At 59.5% G+C, this 15,637-nt stretch overlaps 1 protein-coding gene across 1 annotated transcript in view, besides 3 other annotated features; it reads right to left on the bottom strand.

Annotated features, from left to right (window-relative positions):
• Window positions 1–15,637, bottom strand: part of BOP1 (BOP1 ribosomal biogenesis factor) — a 29,394-nt gene that overhangs the window by 11,100 nt on the left and 2,657 nt on the right. Inside the window, exon 3 of the mRNA NM_015201.5 lies at window positions 3,080–3,160. Within this exon, the coding sequence (NP_056016.1) occupies window positions 3,080–3,160 (81 nt within the window). The remainder of the gene's footprint in view (window positions 1–3,079; window positions 3,161–15,637) is intronic.
• Window positions 1,601–1,730: a silencer, noted in NCBI's record as "silent region_19668". NCBI's record gives its function as "represses an Ori minimal core promoter by ATAC-STARR-seq in GM12878 lymphoblastoid cells {active_cell/tissue: GM12878}" and the evidence as "EXISTENCE:reporter gene assay evidence [ECO:0000049][PMID:35858748]".
• Window positions 1,723–2,365: an enhancer, noted in NCBI's record as "H3K27ac-H3K4me1 hESC enhancer chr8:145498855-145499497 (GRCh37/hg19 assembly coordinates)". NCBI's record gives its function as "activates a minimal SCP1, AML or CMV promoter by ChIP-STARR-seq in primed H9 embryonic stem cells {active_cell/tissue: H9 hESC(primed)}" and the evidence as "EXISTENCE:reporter gene assay evidence [ECO:0000049][PMID:30033119]".
• Window positions 4,664–4,713: a silencer, noted in NCBI's record as "silent region_19669". NCBI's record gives its function as "represses an Ori minimal core promoter by ATAC-STARR-seq in GM12878 lymphoblastoid cells {active_cell/tissue: GM12878}" and the evidence as "EXISTENCE:reporter gene assay evidence [ECO:0000049][PMID:35858748]".

Below are 15,637 nucleotides of genomic sequence, written 5' to 3' on the forward strand. Positions count from 1 at the left end.
GTGCGCGGGGCCAGGACGCGGGGGCGGGGGCGGCCCGGAGGAGCGGAGGCCGCCAGCACTGGAGGCAGCTGCCGGTTCAGTAGCTGGGAGAAGCCATTAACGGCGCTTGGCGCGAGAGCAGAGGGGACCACGGGCTCTGGACGCAGACAGGCCCGGCTGCATCCCTGCGGGAACCTGACTCACAGCCCAGGCAGGGTCAGGGGCACCGAGGAGCTGCCAGGCTGCACCCCAGCCCCAGACTCCAGACTCCAGTGGAGGCCTCGTGGGGGACGGCCCCAGGCCAGCACCACGGGGCACAGGAAAGGGACAGCAGAGGGCGGCTCCTCCGGCCAGAGTGGACGGCCACCCAGATCCCTCAGCCTGCTACGCTTTCCTGACAAACACGGCCACAGGCAGGGGGAGGGTGGGTGGCTGCATCCTCTGCCTGAGCAGCCACCCGGCCTCAGTTTCTCCCAACCGCTCAAATCAAAGCGGAGGGGCTGCTTCGGCAAAGGCCGAGAGCCCCCTTGCCCCGCCCCTCCACCCCGGCCCACCTCCCCGGGGGTCCCAGCGGCTGGATGAGATCACGTCTGTGAAGCTCCAGGCGCGGTGGGAGAGGGGTGAGGTGGCCATGCGGGGGCGGGGCAGCCGCAGCTCAGCCGGCTCCTGGGGGCCCCCCACTGCCGGCGGCAGGACCCCAGCCAGGCCCAGCGCCTCCTCCAGGGGCTCCGCCCGCCTCCCTCCGCCTGCTCGCTGCTGCCTGCGCACCTGGGGGAGGGGAATAAGACACCAAGAGCTGGAGTACAGCTCTCCTGTGAGGGGCTGCTCAGGTCTTCAAAAGTCAGCGTCCAGCAGGGGGTCCCTGAAGCCCCAGTGTCATCCAGGTCCAGGCCCTGGATCCAGACCCAGGAAGGGCAGGGAAGTGGCCTGAGGAGAAGGGGAGGTAGGTGGGCAGGGGGTGGCAGGGAGGCACCTCCCACCAGCAGGAGCTTGGCCCGAGACCTTCTCAGCATCACAGCCACTGCCACCCACGCGCTCCAGCTGAGATCGCCGCTCGCAGGAGCACACGCCCCAGCGGCGCCCTCCCTGCCCTGCTACCAGGGGCCCTCTCCACAGCCCTGAAGGGCCCCGGCAGTGAGGTCGGCCCTCTCTCAGCCAGCTCTGCCCAGTGCCGAGGAGGACCATGGTCCTGGTGCCACGGCCACCTCCAAGGACACGGGGCTGCCTGACGGGCCCTGCTCTCCTCACCCCACTGTCTCATGGGAGAGCTGCAGGCTGTCTCCCACCTCCCAAGCCTCTTTCCTGCCCACCTGTGGCCCCAAATCACTCCCCTAGGGCCACCCCACTTTGCTCCAAGGGAACAGAGGCCCAGGCAGATGCGCACTTCTCTGGACGGGAGGCATCTGTCCGGGCCTGGCCTGGCTCCTGAAAGCTGAGCTCTGCCGCCCCCTCGAGCCACTGGCCGGCTGTGCTGGCAGGAGCACCGGGCAGCACCCGGGCTCCCTCGCTGTCACTCAGACCAACATATGGGATAGTCATCACTGGAGGAAGCAGCCCCCACATCCCTGGCCGGCTTCCTCCCAGCACAGCAGGGGGCTGCCCACCCGGCAGGCGGCGGTGGCACTGGACAGGCCTGGCAAAGCACCCCCAGGGGCAGCAGGGTCCCACAGGCCCCGCCGAGGCCCCTCCCCCGGCCTCCGCGCTCCGTTTACAATCATCATCGATTTCTCAAAATACCAAATATAAAAAAGTAGCCGACAGGATGTGGCTGCCGACAGCCAGAGCCCCTGGGAGGGGGAGGGGAGACAGGCAGGGAGTGCGCGGCGTGGCCCCCCCGCTCTGAGTGAGCCCGCTGCTCCGGCCAGGAAACCAATTTATTTTGTTTTGTCTCTGTTCTCTGAACGCGCAGCAGAGACCGGATCGGGCGGGCGGCCAAGGCTCCTGCAGCCACAGCCAAGAGAGCCGAAGGATGGGGGAAGAACCTGGGGGGAGGGGGGCGCGTGTCTCCCCCAGGCCCCCCGGGGACAGTTCCTGACAGGCAGGCAGGAAGAGCTCCTTCAGGAAGGCCCTACACCAAAGCCTTCTCCTTCCCCCACAGCCCCCAGGGCCCAAAGGAGACTCTGCCTCACACCCAGGTGCTCCACTGGGACCACAGTCCTACCCTGGGGCCAGGCCACACTGAGGAGGGTATAGGCAGGCACTGCCTCTGGCTTCAGAGCTTCTCAGAGCTTCCAGCCCCTCCCAAATGAGGGCAGCCCCCCGCAGCCAAATCTGCTCTTGGACACAGCCCAGTGCCAGCCTCTCCACGCCGGCGGAACCCAGCCCGGTGCCAGCCTCTCCACGCTGGCGGAGCCCAGCCCGGTGCCAGCCTCTCCACGCTGGCGGAGCCCAGCCCGGTGCCAGCCTCTCCACGCTGGTGGAGCCCAGCCCAGCAGCACGCATCCCCCTTCGCCTGCAAGCTCCTTATGAGAAACAGCCGACCTCCTGCCCCTCCTGAGATGTGCTCCTGGGACTCAGTCAGAGGTCCAGAGGCAACGGCCCCAGCCCACATCAGCCACCACCAGGGGTGGGGGGCAGGGGGACCCCAGGGGAAGGGAAGGGCCACCACTGCCCAGAACATCAGGACATTAGGAGGTGGCCCTGGCCCTGTTCTGCCCGCCTGGCCCCCAGCCAACCTGTGGCCCACCCCACAGCACACACGACAGGGGCACCACCCATGCCCGTGACCCCCACCCCGACCATGACCCCCACCCAGACCATGCACGCCACGCCCAGGGAGCCCACAGCCACCCTGCAGACGCCACAGGAGCCCCCAGAGCCCGTCCACAGGCCAGACACAGGGGCATGGAGCCACACCCAGGTCCTTCCCCTTCACAAGCCATGATGACACACATACATTGCAGTCTTGTGTCCCAGACCCCGAAATTGCTCTTGCAGATGGGGAAGCAGGACGCCCACGTGGGCCTCGGCTCCAACAGTGCGGCCCACCTGCGGCAGGTCCCAGCACCCCCAGGGCAACCCCAGCCCCAACCCCCAGCACCTGCTAGGCTGTGATGGAAGCCGCCCCACCCTGCCCAGTGGGAAGCAGCCCCAGTCCTACCTCCTCATCAGAGCTGTCCTCCGCATACTCATCCCCAATCCGGGCGCTCGCCATCTCTGTCCTCGGGCAAGGAGTGCTGGCCTGCAGAGAGAGAGAGAAAATGGTCACTTCAGGGGATACAGGGTACCCTTTGACCTTGGGGGGATCCCAGGAAGCCCACCACCCCGAAATCTCTGAGCAGCTCCAGCCTGGCACAGGCCTCAGCACAAGGCCGAGAACACCCAGCTCTAAGGGGGCCTCTGGGGGCTGTGGCTGGCACCCGGCGCCGCAGGTCCTGCCCACGGCCCTGTCCTCTGTGAGGGCTGGACTGCAGCCTCCCGGGGCCTCTGTCCCTGGGCTGACACGGGTGTCAGGCTAGACACGGAAGCCACTGGGGCAGTCAGGAGCAAAGCCGCCAGCTGAGGACCAAGACCCACCGCCAACCACCCGTACCCCCATTCATGTCAAAGCCACAGGACTCCTCCCAGGGGCCCCACATGGCGCTCCTGCCGAGCCCCGCCTGGGACGGGGGCAGCATGGTCGGGGGGAAGAAGGAGACGCAGCCGTCGCAGCAGGGTCACTGGGGCCAATGCTCTTGAAGGGGCGGGGGACACACATTGTCCACCCATCCCGGGGGCCACGTCCCGCCCAGTCCAGCCAGCAGAGGGCCCAGAGAGGGCCCCGAACACTCAGAAGGCCTGCCCAGCGTTCTCCCACCCACCACGTCCACAGCCCAGGCTGACCCCATCCCGCCGGGTCACAGAGTGGGCGCCACTGAGAATTCACATCCCAACCTGGAAAACAGATTCTGCCCTCGACTGCGGAGGTGAGGATGGCTCCAACCGGATCGGGTTTACTGGCGGAACCAAGGCTGATGGGGAAAACAGGCCCACCTCTCACCCGTGGGGGCAGTAAAGTGCTCGGGCGCAGGAACCCCAGAGCGAAGGCGGGCACGCCCCCGCCCCCACCCCGAGCCCCTCTTCTCTCCGGCCCGGGCTCCTCCCCTGCCTGTTTTTTCCTTCAATATAAAGAGAGATGGGAGACTAAGTTTTTTCCCAGGCCAGGAACAAGGAAGGATTCAGTTTCCACGTCTCCCCCTGCTGCTGACAGTGGCCTGGGGCGCTCAGTGACACGGAGCTCTTGCCCCTGCCTGGAGCACATGAGCCCCCACAGCCGCAGCAGATCCGTGACCCCGGCCCCAAGCCCCAGACGCGCACAAGGGCAGTTCCACACCCGGCTGCGGTCGGCTGCCCCCGCCTGGCCTCTGCGGACGGGTACCGGGCTGGGCTCCCGACCCCTCACAGTGGCCGGGGCTGAAGCACCGCACGCTGGAGTCCCAGCCTCGCTGCTCATGGGCCGCAGTCCCAGGGTCCTGGCAGGTGACAAAAGACTTGTCACCCAGCGCTCTGTGCCCCGTGGCCCCTGTGCTGGATGTGGACAGGCCACGGCACAGGCAGGCTCTGGGCAGGGGGCAGAGGTGGCCTTCGAAGGTGCTGGGTTCCCAGGGGCGCAGCATCCCCGTGGGACAGCTGTGGGGCACAGAGTCCACCAGGGGGCGACGGCGCTCAGCCAGGCCCAGCGCCCGAAGGGCAGGGGCGGTGCGGGCAGGGGCGGTGCGGGCAGGGGCGGCCACTGCTGGGAACTGCCTGACCTAGAAGGCCCCTTCAGATTTTGGAGGCAGATGCTGTGGGGCATTGAACGTATTTTTTTTAACTTAAAAATTAGAGGAAAAGGCCACCAAAACCCTAACGACACAGACAACGGAACATGAGCCCACGCCACGCTCCGGACTCCTGGGGACAGGACCCCCTCCCGCCACGCCCATGCCTGGAGTCAGCCCGGATTCTCCAGGGTCTCCAGCACCACCCGCAGTGTGCGTGGCCTGACTGAGGAGGGGTCGGGCCCGATGGAGCACGAGAGTTGCGTGAGGGTGAAGTAAAAGCTGAGAGAGTGGGCGGGCGAGCGCCACTGGGCAGAGGCAGGCGGGTCTGAAGGACCGACGGGTGGGCAGGGAGCCGCCGAGGGGGAGCGCAAGGACGAGGTGCCAGCAGGATGCGGGGCCGCTGGGGCCAAGGAAAGGCTGCTGTAGTCCCTGAACCCTGCGTGGCCTCTGCCCAGCCCCAGGGCTAGAATGTCACCATGAGGACCAAAGGGAGAAACCCACAGTGGGCTCAGCCAGACAGAAACGGTGTCCAAGCGCATGAGCCCCCTATTGTGACCACACCAGAGCCTCCCCTCCCCAGCATCAGGCCAGCCAGGCCGTGCCCCACTGCCACCAACCAGGCATGAGACACGGGCTCTGCCCTCACCTCCTGGGAGAGGATGGCGACAGAGCTGCGGTGTCCCGGTTCGGTGGGAAGAGAACTCTGCTCCCAGGGCTGCCCACAAGAGGGTTCTGCTGGAGACGTGGACAGCAGGAGGGAAGCAGTCCTAACTTGCCCAGAGACCAGAGCCAGAACATCGCTGTCGGGGTGCCAAGGACACCAAGACAACCCAGCGCTGCACCACAGACCCCACACCCAGCACCTCAGCACGGCCAAGGCTCCCTAGGGCCCTGCCCACGCTAGCCGCAGGGTGCCCAGCACAGAGACAGGCTGCTATCCAAGAGCTCTGTGCCGATGGCTCGTGTGACAGCAACGACTCATCAACAGGTACCTAGGAAACCCACATTTTGTTTTAAAGAAAGTACATCAGCAGGAACTGAAAAGCCCAGAGAAAATACAGCCGAAAAACATCCCTTTTTACTCAGGGAAAAGGAAGGTAACTCGGGGCAGGAGCCCAAGAGTGGCAGGGTCGTTCCCAGGCATGGAGGCCAACCCTGCATGAGGCACTGGCCATGTGTGCTGCCACCAGAGGCCCCAAGACCACCACGGGCCATGACCACCAAGGGCCATGACCGTCACGGGCCACGACCGCCATGGGCCATGACCCCCATGGGCCTCAAGACCACCACAGGCCACGACCACCACGGGTCTCAAGACCATCATGGGTCTCAAGGACAGGCCCCAAGACCACTGCGTGCCACGACCGCCACAGGCCCTAAGACCACCATGGGCCCCACGATCACCACAGGCCACAACTGCCACAGGTCCCCTATACCACCATGGGCCCTGACGATCACAGGCCACAACCACCATGGGCCACGACCACCACAGGCCCCAAGACCACCACGGGCCAAGACCACCATGGCCAAGACCACCACCAGCCATGTGCTCAGCCACCTTAGGACCACCACAGACCAGAGACCACTCCACAGCACTGTGACTCGGTGCCCCACTGCAGACAGCTGTGCAGAGAGGGGCCCAAGGACCCCCATCTATCAGGCCTGGTTTAGATGAGACCCTGGCAGTGGAATGAGGTTCTGGGGAGCGCTGGGGGAAGAGACTATTTGGCAAGCGTAAGGGTGACTGTGACCATTTTAAAACACGGCCACAAACCTTTGATTTTCATCGCATCAAGAGACAGAGTCTATGTCCCCCCCGCCGCAAATCTGGGTGGGCTTGTGGCTGCTTTACCCACCCAAGGGAGGCAGCCCACACTGACACCACAGGATTCTGGGCTGAGGTCGTGAAGGCCGTGTGGCTCTGCCTGGCACAGGAGACCACGTCCTTGCAGCCCTGAGCCCTGGGAGAGGGGACAGCTGGACAGGGGTACCCTTCGTGAACATGGCTGTCAGGGGCGGTCTGGACACACAAGAGGCCCGGCTGTGCTCACCTGAGATCCTCACCCAAGTCCCAGAGCACAGGATGTGAGCTGAGTGTCGATCTTCCTCAGGTGGAATGTACCAGAACCCTCTGGGGCTCCCCGGCCCCTCAGCATGACACTGTACTCAGGGTGTACTGACCCTGCTGCTTTCGGCCTGAACTCTGACCCCTCGAATCCAGAATGCTACAAAATATCTGTTTGATGCTGCAAAGTGTCAGGGCAGGTGGCAGAACAGCTGCCTGACTCCCCCATGGGGGCCAAGAAGCTTGGAGCTGGCAGTCTTCAAAAGAACCCAAAGCAAGGCCACAGGCAGAGGCAAGAGCGGAGTTTACCACCAGCCCTGGCCCCTGGTTCCATCCCCAGCTCTGTGGTCCACACCCAGGCAACTTCTCCACCACTGACCAGCTGGTGAGAATCACTGGGCAGCCCCTTTCCAGACTCCACAGAGCTGCAGCTCCAGACCACTCTCCAGCAGACGGCACCAGCACCCAGACCCCAGAACCACAGCGACAGGGGGCCCGAGCCCAGGGTTCCCACGCTGCAGCAACGCGGCCTGCCACCTGCCATTCCCAGAGCCTTCGCTGAGACGCTGGCGGGATCCCCTGCCCAAGAGTGTGCATTATGCTCCGGCACAGGCCAAACTCTCCTTAAATTATCTGGGAAGGCCGGGCCCAGTGGCTCACACCTGTCATCCCAGCACTTTGGGAGACCGAGGCAGGCGGATCAGTTGAGGTTAAGAGTTCGAGACCAGACTGGCCTACATGGAAAACCCTGTCTCTACTAAAAATACAAAAAATTAGCTGGGCTTGGTGGCGCTCACCTGTAATCACAGCGGGAGGCTGAGGCAGGAGAAAGAACTGCTTGAATCTGGGGGGTGGAGACTGCAGTGAGCTGAGATCAGGCTATTGCACTCCAGCCCGGGTGACAGACAGACTCTTGTCTCAGAAAAAAAAAAAAATCTGGAATCATCACTTTAATACCAGGTCTTCGGCCTTCTCTCACTTTCATACCAGGTCTTAGGCCTTCTCTCAGTTTAATACCAGGTCTTTGGCCTTCTCTCACTTTAATACCAGGTCTTCGGCCTTCTCTCACTTTCATACCAGGTCTTCGGCCTTCTCTCACTTTAATACCAGGTCTTAGGCCTTCTCTCACTTTCATACCAGGTCTTCGGCCTTCTCTCACTTTAATACCAGGTCTTCGGCCTTCTCTCAGTTTAATACCAGGTCTTAGGCCTTCTCTCAGTTTAATACCAGGTCTTCGGCCTTCCCTCACTTTCATACCAGGTCTTTGGCCTTCTCTCAGTTTAATACCAGGTCTTCGGCCTTCCCTCAGTTTAATACCAGGTCTTCGGCCTTCCCTCAGTTTAATACCAGGTCTTCGGCCTTCCCTCACTTTCATACCAGGTCTTTGGCCTTCTCTCAGTTTAATACCAGGTCTTCGGCCTTCCCTCAGTTTAATACCAGGTCTTCGGCCTTCCCTCAGTTTAATACCAGGTCTTCGGCCTTCTCTCACTTTCATACCAGGTCTTTGGCCTTCTCTCAGTTTAATACCAGGTCTTCGGCCTTCTCTCACTTTCATACCAGGTCTTTGGCCTTCCCTCAGTTTAATACCAGGTCTTCGGCCTTCCCTCAGTTTAATACCAGGTCTTCGGCCTTCCCTCACTTTCATACCAGGTCTTTGGCCTTCTCTCACTTTAATACCAGGTCTTAGGCCTTCTCTTACTTTAATACTAGGTCTTAGGCCTTCTCTTACTAGTGCTTTTTTCTTTCAAGACAGAGTCCCACTCACTCTGTCACCCAGGATGGAGGCAGTGGCATGATCTCAGCTTACTCTAACTTCCGCCTCCCAGGCTCAAGCAATTCACATGAGGTTTCACCATGTTGGCCGGGCTGGTCTCGAACTCCTCAAGTGATCCGCCCACCTTGGCCTCCCAAAGTGCTGGGATTACAGGTTTGGCTCACCGCATCCAGTCTTTTCTCACATTCTTGACTGTGACAAGCAGATTAACTGATAAAAACAGAAACTTCTGCACAAAATAATAAAAAGAAAAACTCACATAAATGAAAAGACAAAACCAAGCAAAGCTGGGAAAAAAATGAATCTAAATGAGCACAGAAAGGAAAAAACAGCTCTGAGCGCACGGACCCCACAGATCCACTAGACACCAGCGATAAAGAGAAGGCCCTGCAACCAGTCCTCGCTCCGGTGAGCCCGCGGCCCGCGCTGCCGTGTGCTGCTGGAGAGGGGACAGGAAGCGAGGCACAGGCCGGCAGGAGGCAGCTTCCTCCCTGGCTGGTCAGTGGAGGGCTGGGAGCACCCGTGTCAGGGGTGCTGCAGGGCAGGGAGCACACAGCCCAGGGCGCCCCTCCAGTGGGATGGCTCGCAGACACAGTCAACAGCTGGAAGGGCAGGGGCTGCAGAAAGTCCCAGGGAGTAGGAACCAGGCCAGGAGACAGAACTCGTGGGTCATCAGGTGGCACAGAACGCAATTAAGAGGCAGGACTGCCAGGCCCAAGGCAGGGAGGCTGGAGATGGGGTGGGCCCTGGGGTGAGGCTGGCCCACCAAGCTCGTGCCAGAGCAGGTGGACCCAGAAAGAGGGGTCACTGTAGCAGGGACGCAAAGGGTGGGGAAGGGATGCCTGCCCTCAAACCACACAAACACAAAAATAAATCAAACCCACTGGCCCCAAGGAGGCTACTAGCAACAGCTGTGGGCCCTGCCGTGGCCCACAGATACCCCAGGGAAGGAAGGGGGAGGTACAGCACCCACCCCATCTTCTTGGGCCCTGTCCCTGTCCTCATCCCTATCCTCTGACCACCCCCCAGACACAGAGTACCCTTCTTCACCTTCACTCCTGAGCTCCTCATGCCAACAGTCAGGGGAGGAGCTGCAAAGGGCACAGCCAGACCCTGCTCCTTGAGTGCACCTCACAAAACACCAGGACTCCTGACCCCAGAAACACAGACAGCAAATGCTCGTTGTTGAAAGGCACTATGGTGGCCAGGTGCGGTGGCTCACGCCTGTAATCCCAGCACTTTGGGAGGCCAAGGCAGGTGGATTACCTGAGGTCAGGAGTTCAAGACCAGCCTGGCCAACATGGTGACACTCCCTCTCTACTAAAAATACAAAAAAAAAAAAAATTACCCGAGCGTGGTGGCTGGCATCTGTAATCCCAGCTACTCAGGAGGTTGAGGCACGAGAATCGCTTGAACCCAGGAGGCAGAAGTTGCAGTGAGCCGAGATTGTGCCACTGCACTCCAGCCTGGGCGATAAGAGCAAAAAAACTCCATCTCAAAAAAAAAAAAAAAAAAAAAAAAGAAAGGCTCCATGGTTTGGGGCAGTTTGTTGTGGTGCCAGATAACAAAACAAACAAACAGAGAGAAAACAGCAAAGGGCTCCTGGCCCAGGGAGCTCAGACCAAAATGACAAGAACCAGCTAGCTGTCCTGCCCTTGGGCAACAGCCATGAGGGTTTCCAGCCAGCTAAGTGCATGGATGATGCCGCCACAGGGAAGAGACAGAAGGGCTTCCGGGACTGGGACCACGGGCACGCACCGCCATGCCTGGCTCATTTTTTAAATTTTCTGTAAAAATGGGGTCTCATTATATGGCACAGGCTGGTCTTGAACTCCTGGGCTCAAGAGATCCACCTGCCTTGGCCTCCCAAAGTGCTGGGATTACAGGTGTGAGCCACTGGGCCCAGCCTGTGACTCATTCTTTTTATTTTTATTTTTTCAGTTAAGCCCAGCTGTGCGAGCCTCATTCTTAATGAAAGAAAAACATCACTAAACAAGAGGAAAAGATGAAGCAGCAACACCATGAGGGAGGCTGGTGGTGGGAAAGCAGCTGAGGGGCGGCTGCAGTAGTGCATGGCATCACCGCCTAGCGGAGGGACGCTCCAAGCACCTTCACAATTAAATGCATTGATGGCCAGGTGCGGCGGCTCACGCCTGTCATCCCAGCACTTCAGGAGGCCAAGACAGGTGGATTACCTGAGGTCAGGAGTTCGAGACCAGCTCAGCCAACATGGTGAAACCCGTCTCTCCTAAAAATACAGACATTAGCCGGGCGTGATGACGGGCGCCTGTAATCCCGGCTACTCAGGAGGCTGAGGCGGGAGAATCACTTGAACCCAGGAGGTGGAGGTTGCAGTGAGCCGAGATTGCACCACCGTACTCCAGCCTGGGCGACAGAGCGAGACTCTGTCTCAAAAAACAAAACAAAACAAAACAAAACAAAACTAGCCAGGCATGGTGGCGGGGACCCTGTAGTCCCAGCTACCAGGGAGGCTGAGGTAGGAGGATCCCTTGAGCCCAGGAAGTTGAGATTTTGGTGAGCCAACATCGCACCACTGCCCTCCAGCCTGAGTGACAGAGTGAGACCCTGTCTCAAACAAAAAAAAGCATTTATCCTTTGACCTAGAAATTCTCTTGGAATTTTCCCCAAGAATGGTGTGCACATGTGAGAAACAGCATGTTACTGTCAGGTCAACTGTAAGAGCAAAAGCCTGCAACTGCCCACCCACTGGAGCTGTTGAGGCCGAGCTGCCAGGCACTCTACGGGCACCAAGCACTGTACAAACCAGAGCCATGGCCTCCCTGACAGAACCATCCTGAGACAGCGCACGGCTGCCCCTTCTCTTAAGAAACCACCATTCAAAAACTCTGTGCGAGTTTGGATATGTCTAGAACATCCTGGAAAGAGACTTCAGCACTGGAAACAGTAGTTGCCTGGATGCAGCAACAGGAGCCAGGAGGGAAGGGTAGGAGACTCGTTCCCTGGCACACCCCTCAGGAGCACCTGAGCATCCAAAGGTGCCCTAGAACACCACGTGCAGCTGCTCACTGAATGCCACGTAATTCTACACAGTCCTTAGAAAGGAGGCAGGGTCGTGTGCATGTCAATGCTAAAGGCCTGAGGGCAGAAAGCCAGAGGGAAGCCTGTGGCCCGGCCCTGCAGCCAGAAGCACGCCCACCCTGGGTCCACCCAGGCAGGTCCGGAGCCCTTGGCAGGTCGCCAGGTCTCCACAGGGGCCGCCAGCAGCTGACCCCCAGCAGTCACCGGGCTCCCCGCTACAAGGGCCTCCCACTGTGGGGCTCTCCGCAGGACGCCCCGGGCCGGTCTGGGTTGGTTTGGGGCACACACTTGGAATCAGATTTATGGAGGAGGCTCTCTGAAGGTGACCCATCAGCCACATCGCTGCCAGGATGGCAGAGATGAACAAAAGCCGCAGCTCCCTCCCATGCCAGTCACACAGCCCCTTCTTCACAGCACCATCGGGGCCGGGTATACCCACCAAGGGCTAGGCGGCCTGGGGAGTGAGGCCCTCGCCCTGCCTGACTTCGTGTGTCCCTGAGGTGTCCGTGACATGACACATGCATGCTGCCTGATGCCCAGCCCCATCCCGCCACTGTTCCAGTCTGATGTGATGCTGTGGCTGGGATGTCCTTCAGATGCACGAGGCAGAGGCCACAGGGGCCACGTCTTGCCAACCACTGTGGAGGAAACAGCGACAGGAGGGAGTGGGGGGACAGGCAGAAGCACGTGGCAGAAGAGAAATTAGCAAAAACATCATCTCGTCCTTCAGGGGCTGCCAGGCAGACATTACCCTCACTTACCAAGTAACCCACCGAGGCCCATGAACCATCTGCAAGACCACACGAGTGGCCGTGGCCAGGACCACAGAATCCCAGGTGCGCCCACTGCAGGGCAAGGACACTTAGCAGCAGGAGAAGCTGCTGTGTCACTGTGGTGTGAATTCCCAGAACCAAGGGGCACTGATTCTAGAAGCCGCTCAACGGAAGGGTTCTTGGGTTGAGGACCCACAACCACTGGCAGGGGCATCGGGGGCAGAATCCTCCAGATGGCTGTGGCGGGCGAGGGTGTCTGGCAGAGCCCCTGGTGGCCCGGCCCCGTGGACCCACGATGCGAGTGGGAGGTGGCGGAGATACAGGCGTAAGGAGCCCTGGACTGCCTTCGGGATGACACAGAAACAGGCCTAACCTGAGGCCACTAACTGGGCATGACGGGGCCATCTTGGCGGCACTCTGGGAGGCCTCACGTGGCCACGCTCATGGAAGCCAAGAGAACATGCAGGAGGCAGCACTGGGCTGCCGGCTGAGTTTCCACCTGCAGGGCTGCACAATGGGAAAGGACTCCCACCATTCAAGAGGGGCGCGGAGGGCAGGCAGGAGGGAGTGGCCGCTCAGCAGGCCAAGGTGCCTGGGTGGCTTCTGATGAACAGGGGGGAAAAGGGAGGGGTTCCCACTAAGAAGCTGAAAGCACCCCCACCTCATCAATTCATTCTCCTGACCTGGAAGAATTTAAACCCAGTCATGAGGATCACACTTTAGAACTGAAAACACCCTGACAGGGCCCAAGGTGCCCCTCAGCTAAAGCACAGGACACGCGGGCAGATGCACGGGCGCCATGGCAGGGCAGGGCCTCAGCCCCTCAGCTAAAGCACAGGACACGCGGGCAGGTGCATGGGCGCCACGGCAGGGCAGGGCCTCGGCCCCTCAGCTAAAGCACAGGACACGCGGGCAGGTGCATGGGCGCCACGGCAGGGCAGGGCCTCGGCCCCTCAGCTAAAGCACAGGACACGCGGGCAGGTGCATGGGCGCCACGGCAGGGCAGGGCCTCGGCCTCCCAGCTAAAGCACAGGACACGCGGGCAGATGCACGGGCGCCATGGCAGGGCAGGGCCTCGGCCCCTCAGCTAAAGCACAGGACACGCGGGCAGGTGCATGAGCGCCACAACAGGGCAGGGCCTCAGGCAGGGACTTGGGCAGCCAGCAGCGTGGGGAACTCTGAGGACCGCCCCACCAGCCCGGCCGGCCTTGCCACCTCAGGCCCTGCTGGATGACGGAGCACACAGACCACAGACAGCGGTACTTTGGAAAACACCCTGCATGGGGCAGCCAGTTACGCGGTCACAGAAACCCGAGCAGGGCAATGGGCAGGACAAGCACACACTCAGCAGTGCAGAGGACCTGGTGCTCCAGGGGCCAGGAGACAAGCAGCGAGAAGAGAAGATGGCGCCTCCCTAGACTCCGCAGACACCTCTAGTACCTTTCAAGTACTTGGATATGTTATTATGCGAAAACATTGTTTTGGTTTTTGAGGCAGAGCCTCACTCTGTCACCCAGACTGGAGTGCAGTGGTGAGATCTCGGCTCACTGCAACCTCCGCCTCCCAGGTTCAAGTGATTCTAACGCCTCAGCCTCCCGAGTAGCTGGGATTACAGGCACGCGCCACCACGCCCAGCTAATTTTTATATTTTTAGTAGAGACAGGGTTTCACCATGTTAGCCAGGCTGGTCTTGAACTCCTGAGCTCAGGTGATCCATCCACCTTAGCCTCCCAAAGTGCTGGGATTACAGGCGTGAGCCACCACGCCCGCTGAAAGAATTTAATAAAAAAATCATTAACATGTAAATGTGTAAATCCTTAATTTAAAAAGGGACAGAAGACCCAGAAAGATGTACACCAGACCACTAACTGTGCTCACGGGTTAGGTGTGAGGGCCCTGAGTGGGAGCTTCCACCCTACTGAATGGTGCTGCTACAATATCTACATTATTTTCCAGGATGTTTTATCTCATAATTTTTTTTTGAAACAGGGTCTTGCTTGTCACCCAGGCTGGAGTGCAGTGGCTCTATCATAGCTCACTGTGACCTGGATTCCTGGGCTCAGGAGATCCTCCCACTTTGGCCTCTCGAGCTGCTGGGATTACAGGTATGAGCCACTGTGCCTGGCCCAGTATTGTATCATTTTAAAAACTCAAGAAGGGGTAACGTAGTTGTCCATAATCTTACAAACCACTGCCAACACAGCACATCATTTTTTCTCTGTGTATGTTAGTGGTATAATTAAAGCCTGAATTAAGTGTGATTTTAAATCTTTTCTTCCCAGCAAACAAGCCAACCCAACACAGCTAGCACACAATGAACAAGCCATGGTTCCTTGGCTTCTATCACGGGGACCTCTGCCAAGGCCGTAACTTCCAGAACACCGAAACTACTGGGAGAGTAAATCCTTACAAACGATTTCCAGAATGTTTAGAGTAACAAATGCTGGGCTGGGCGCGGTGGCTCACACCTGTAATCCCAGCACTTTGGGAGGCCAAGGCAGGCAGATCACTTGAGGTCAGGAGTTCGAGACCAGCCTGGCCAACATGGTGAAACCCCGTCACTACTAAACATACAAAAAAAAATTAGCCGAGCCTGGTAGTGGGCACCTGTAATCCCAGCTACTCAGGAGGCTGAGACAGGAGAATTGTTTGAACCCAGGAGGTGGAAGATGCAGTGAGCCAAGATCGCCCCACTGCACTCCAGCCTGGGCAACAGAGCAAGACTCTGTCTTAGAAAAAAAAAAAAAAAATAGGCCGGGCGTGGTGGCTCACCTGAGGTCAGGAAATCGAGACCAGCCTGGCCAACACGGCAAAACCCTGTCTCTACTAAAAGTACAAAAATTAGCCGGGCGTGATGGCATGTACCTGTAATCCCAGCTACTAGAGAGGCTGAGGCAGGAGAATTACTTGAACCCAGGGGATGGAGGTTGCAGTGAGCCAAGATCACACCACTGCACTCCAGCCTGGGCGACAGAGTGAGACTCTGTCTCAAAAAAATAAAAAATAAAAAAAAATAACAAATGCTGTGTTTTAGTTAAATTATGCTTTTCTCCTGTTGTTCTCAATAAGAGTAGGGTGCATCCTCCCCCACCATCGCTGCAACAGGTACAATGTTAAACCCTCTACCCGTCGGCTGCTCAGGCCCCTGAAGCCCTGTGGGGTCAGGCCCAGCTGGGTTCCGTTGGGGCCCCCATGCCGCCTGCTTGAGCCCTGCCATGCTGCTCAGCTCCCTCCTCAGCTGGGT

Source organism: Homo sapiens, chromosome 8 (assembly GCF_000001405.40).
Source record: "Homo sapiens chromosome 8, GRCh38.p14 Primary Assembly".
Classification (NCBI taxonomy): domain Eukaryota; kingdom Metazoa; phylum Chordata; class Mammalia; order Primates; family Hominidae; genus Homo; species Homo sapiens.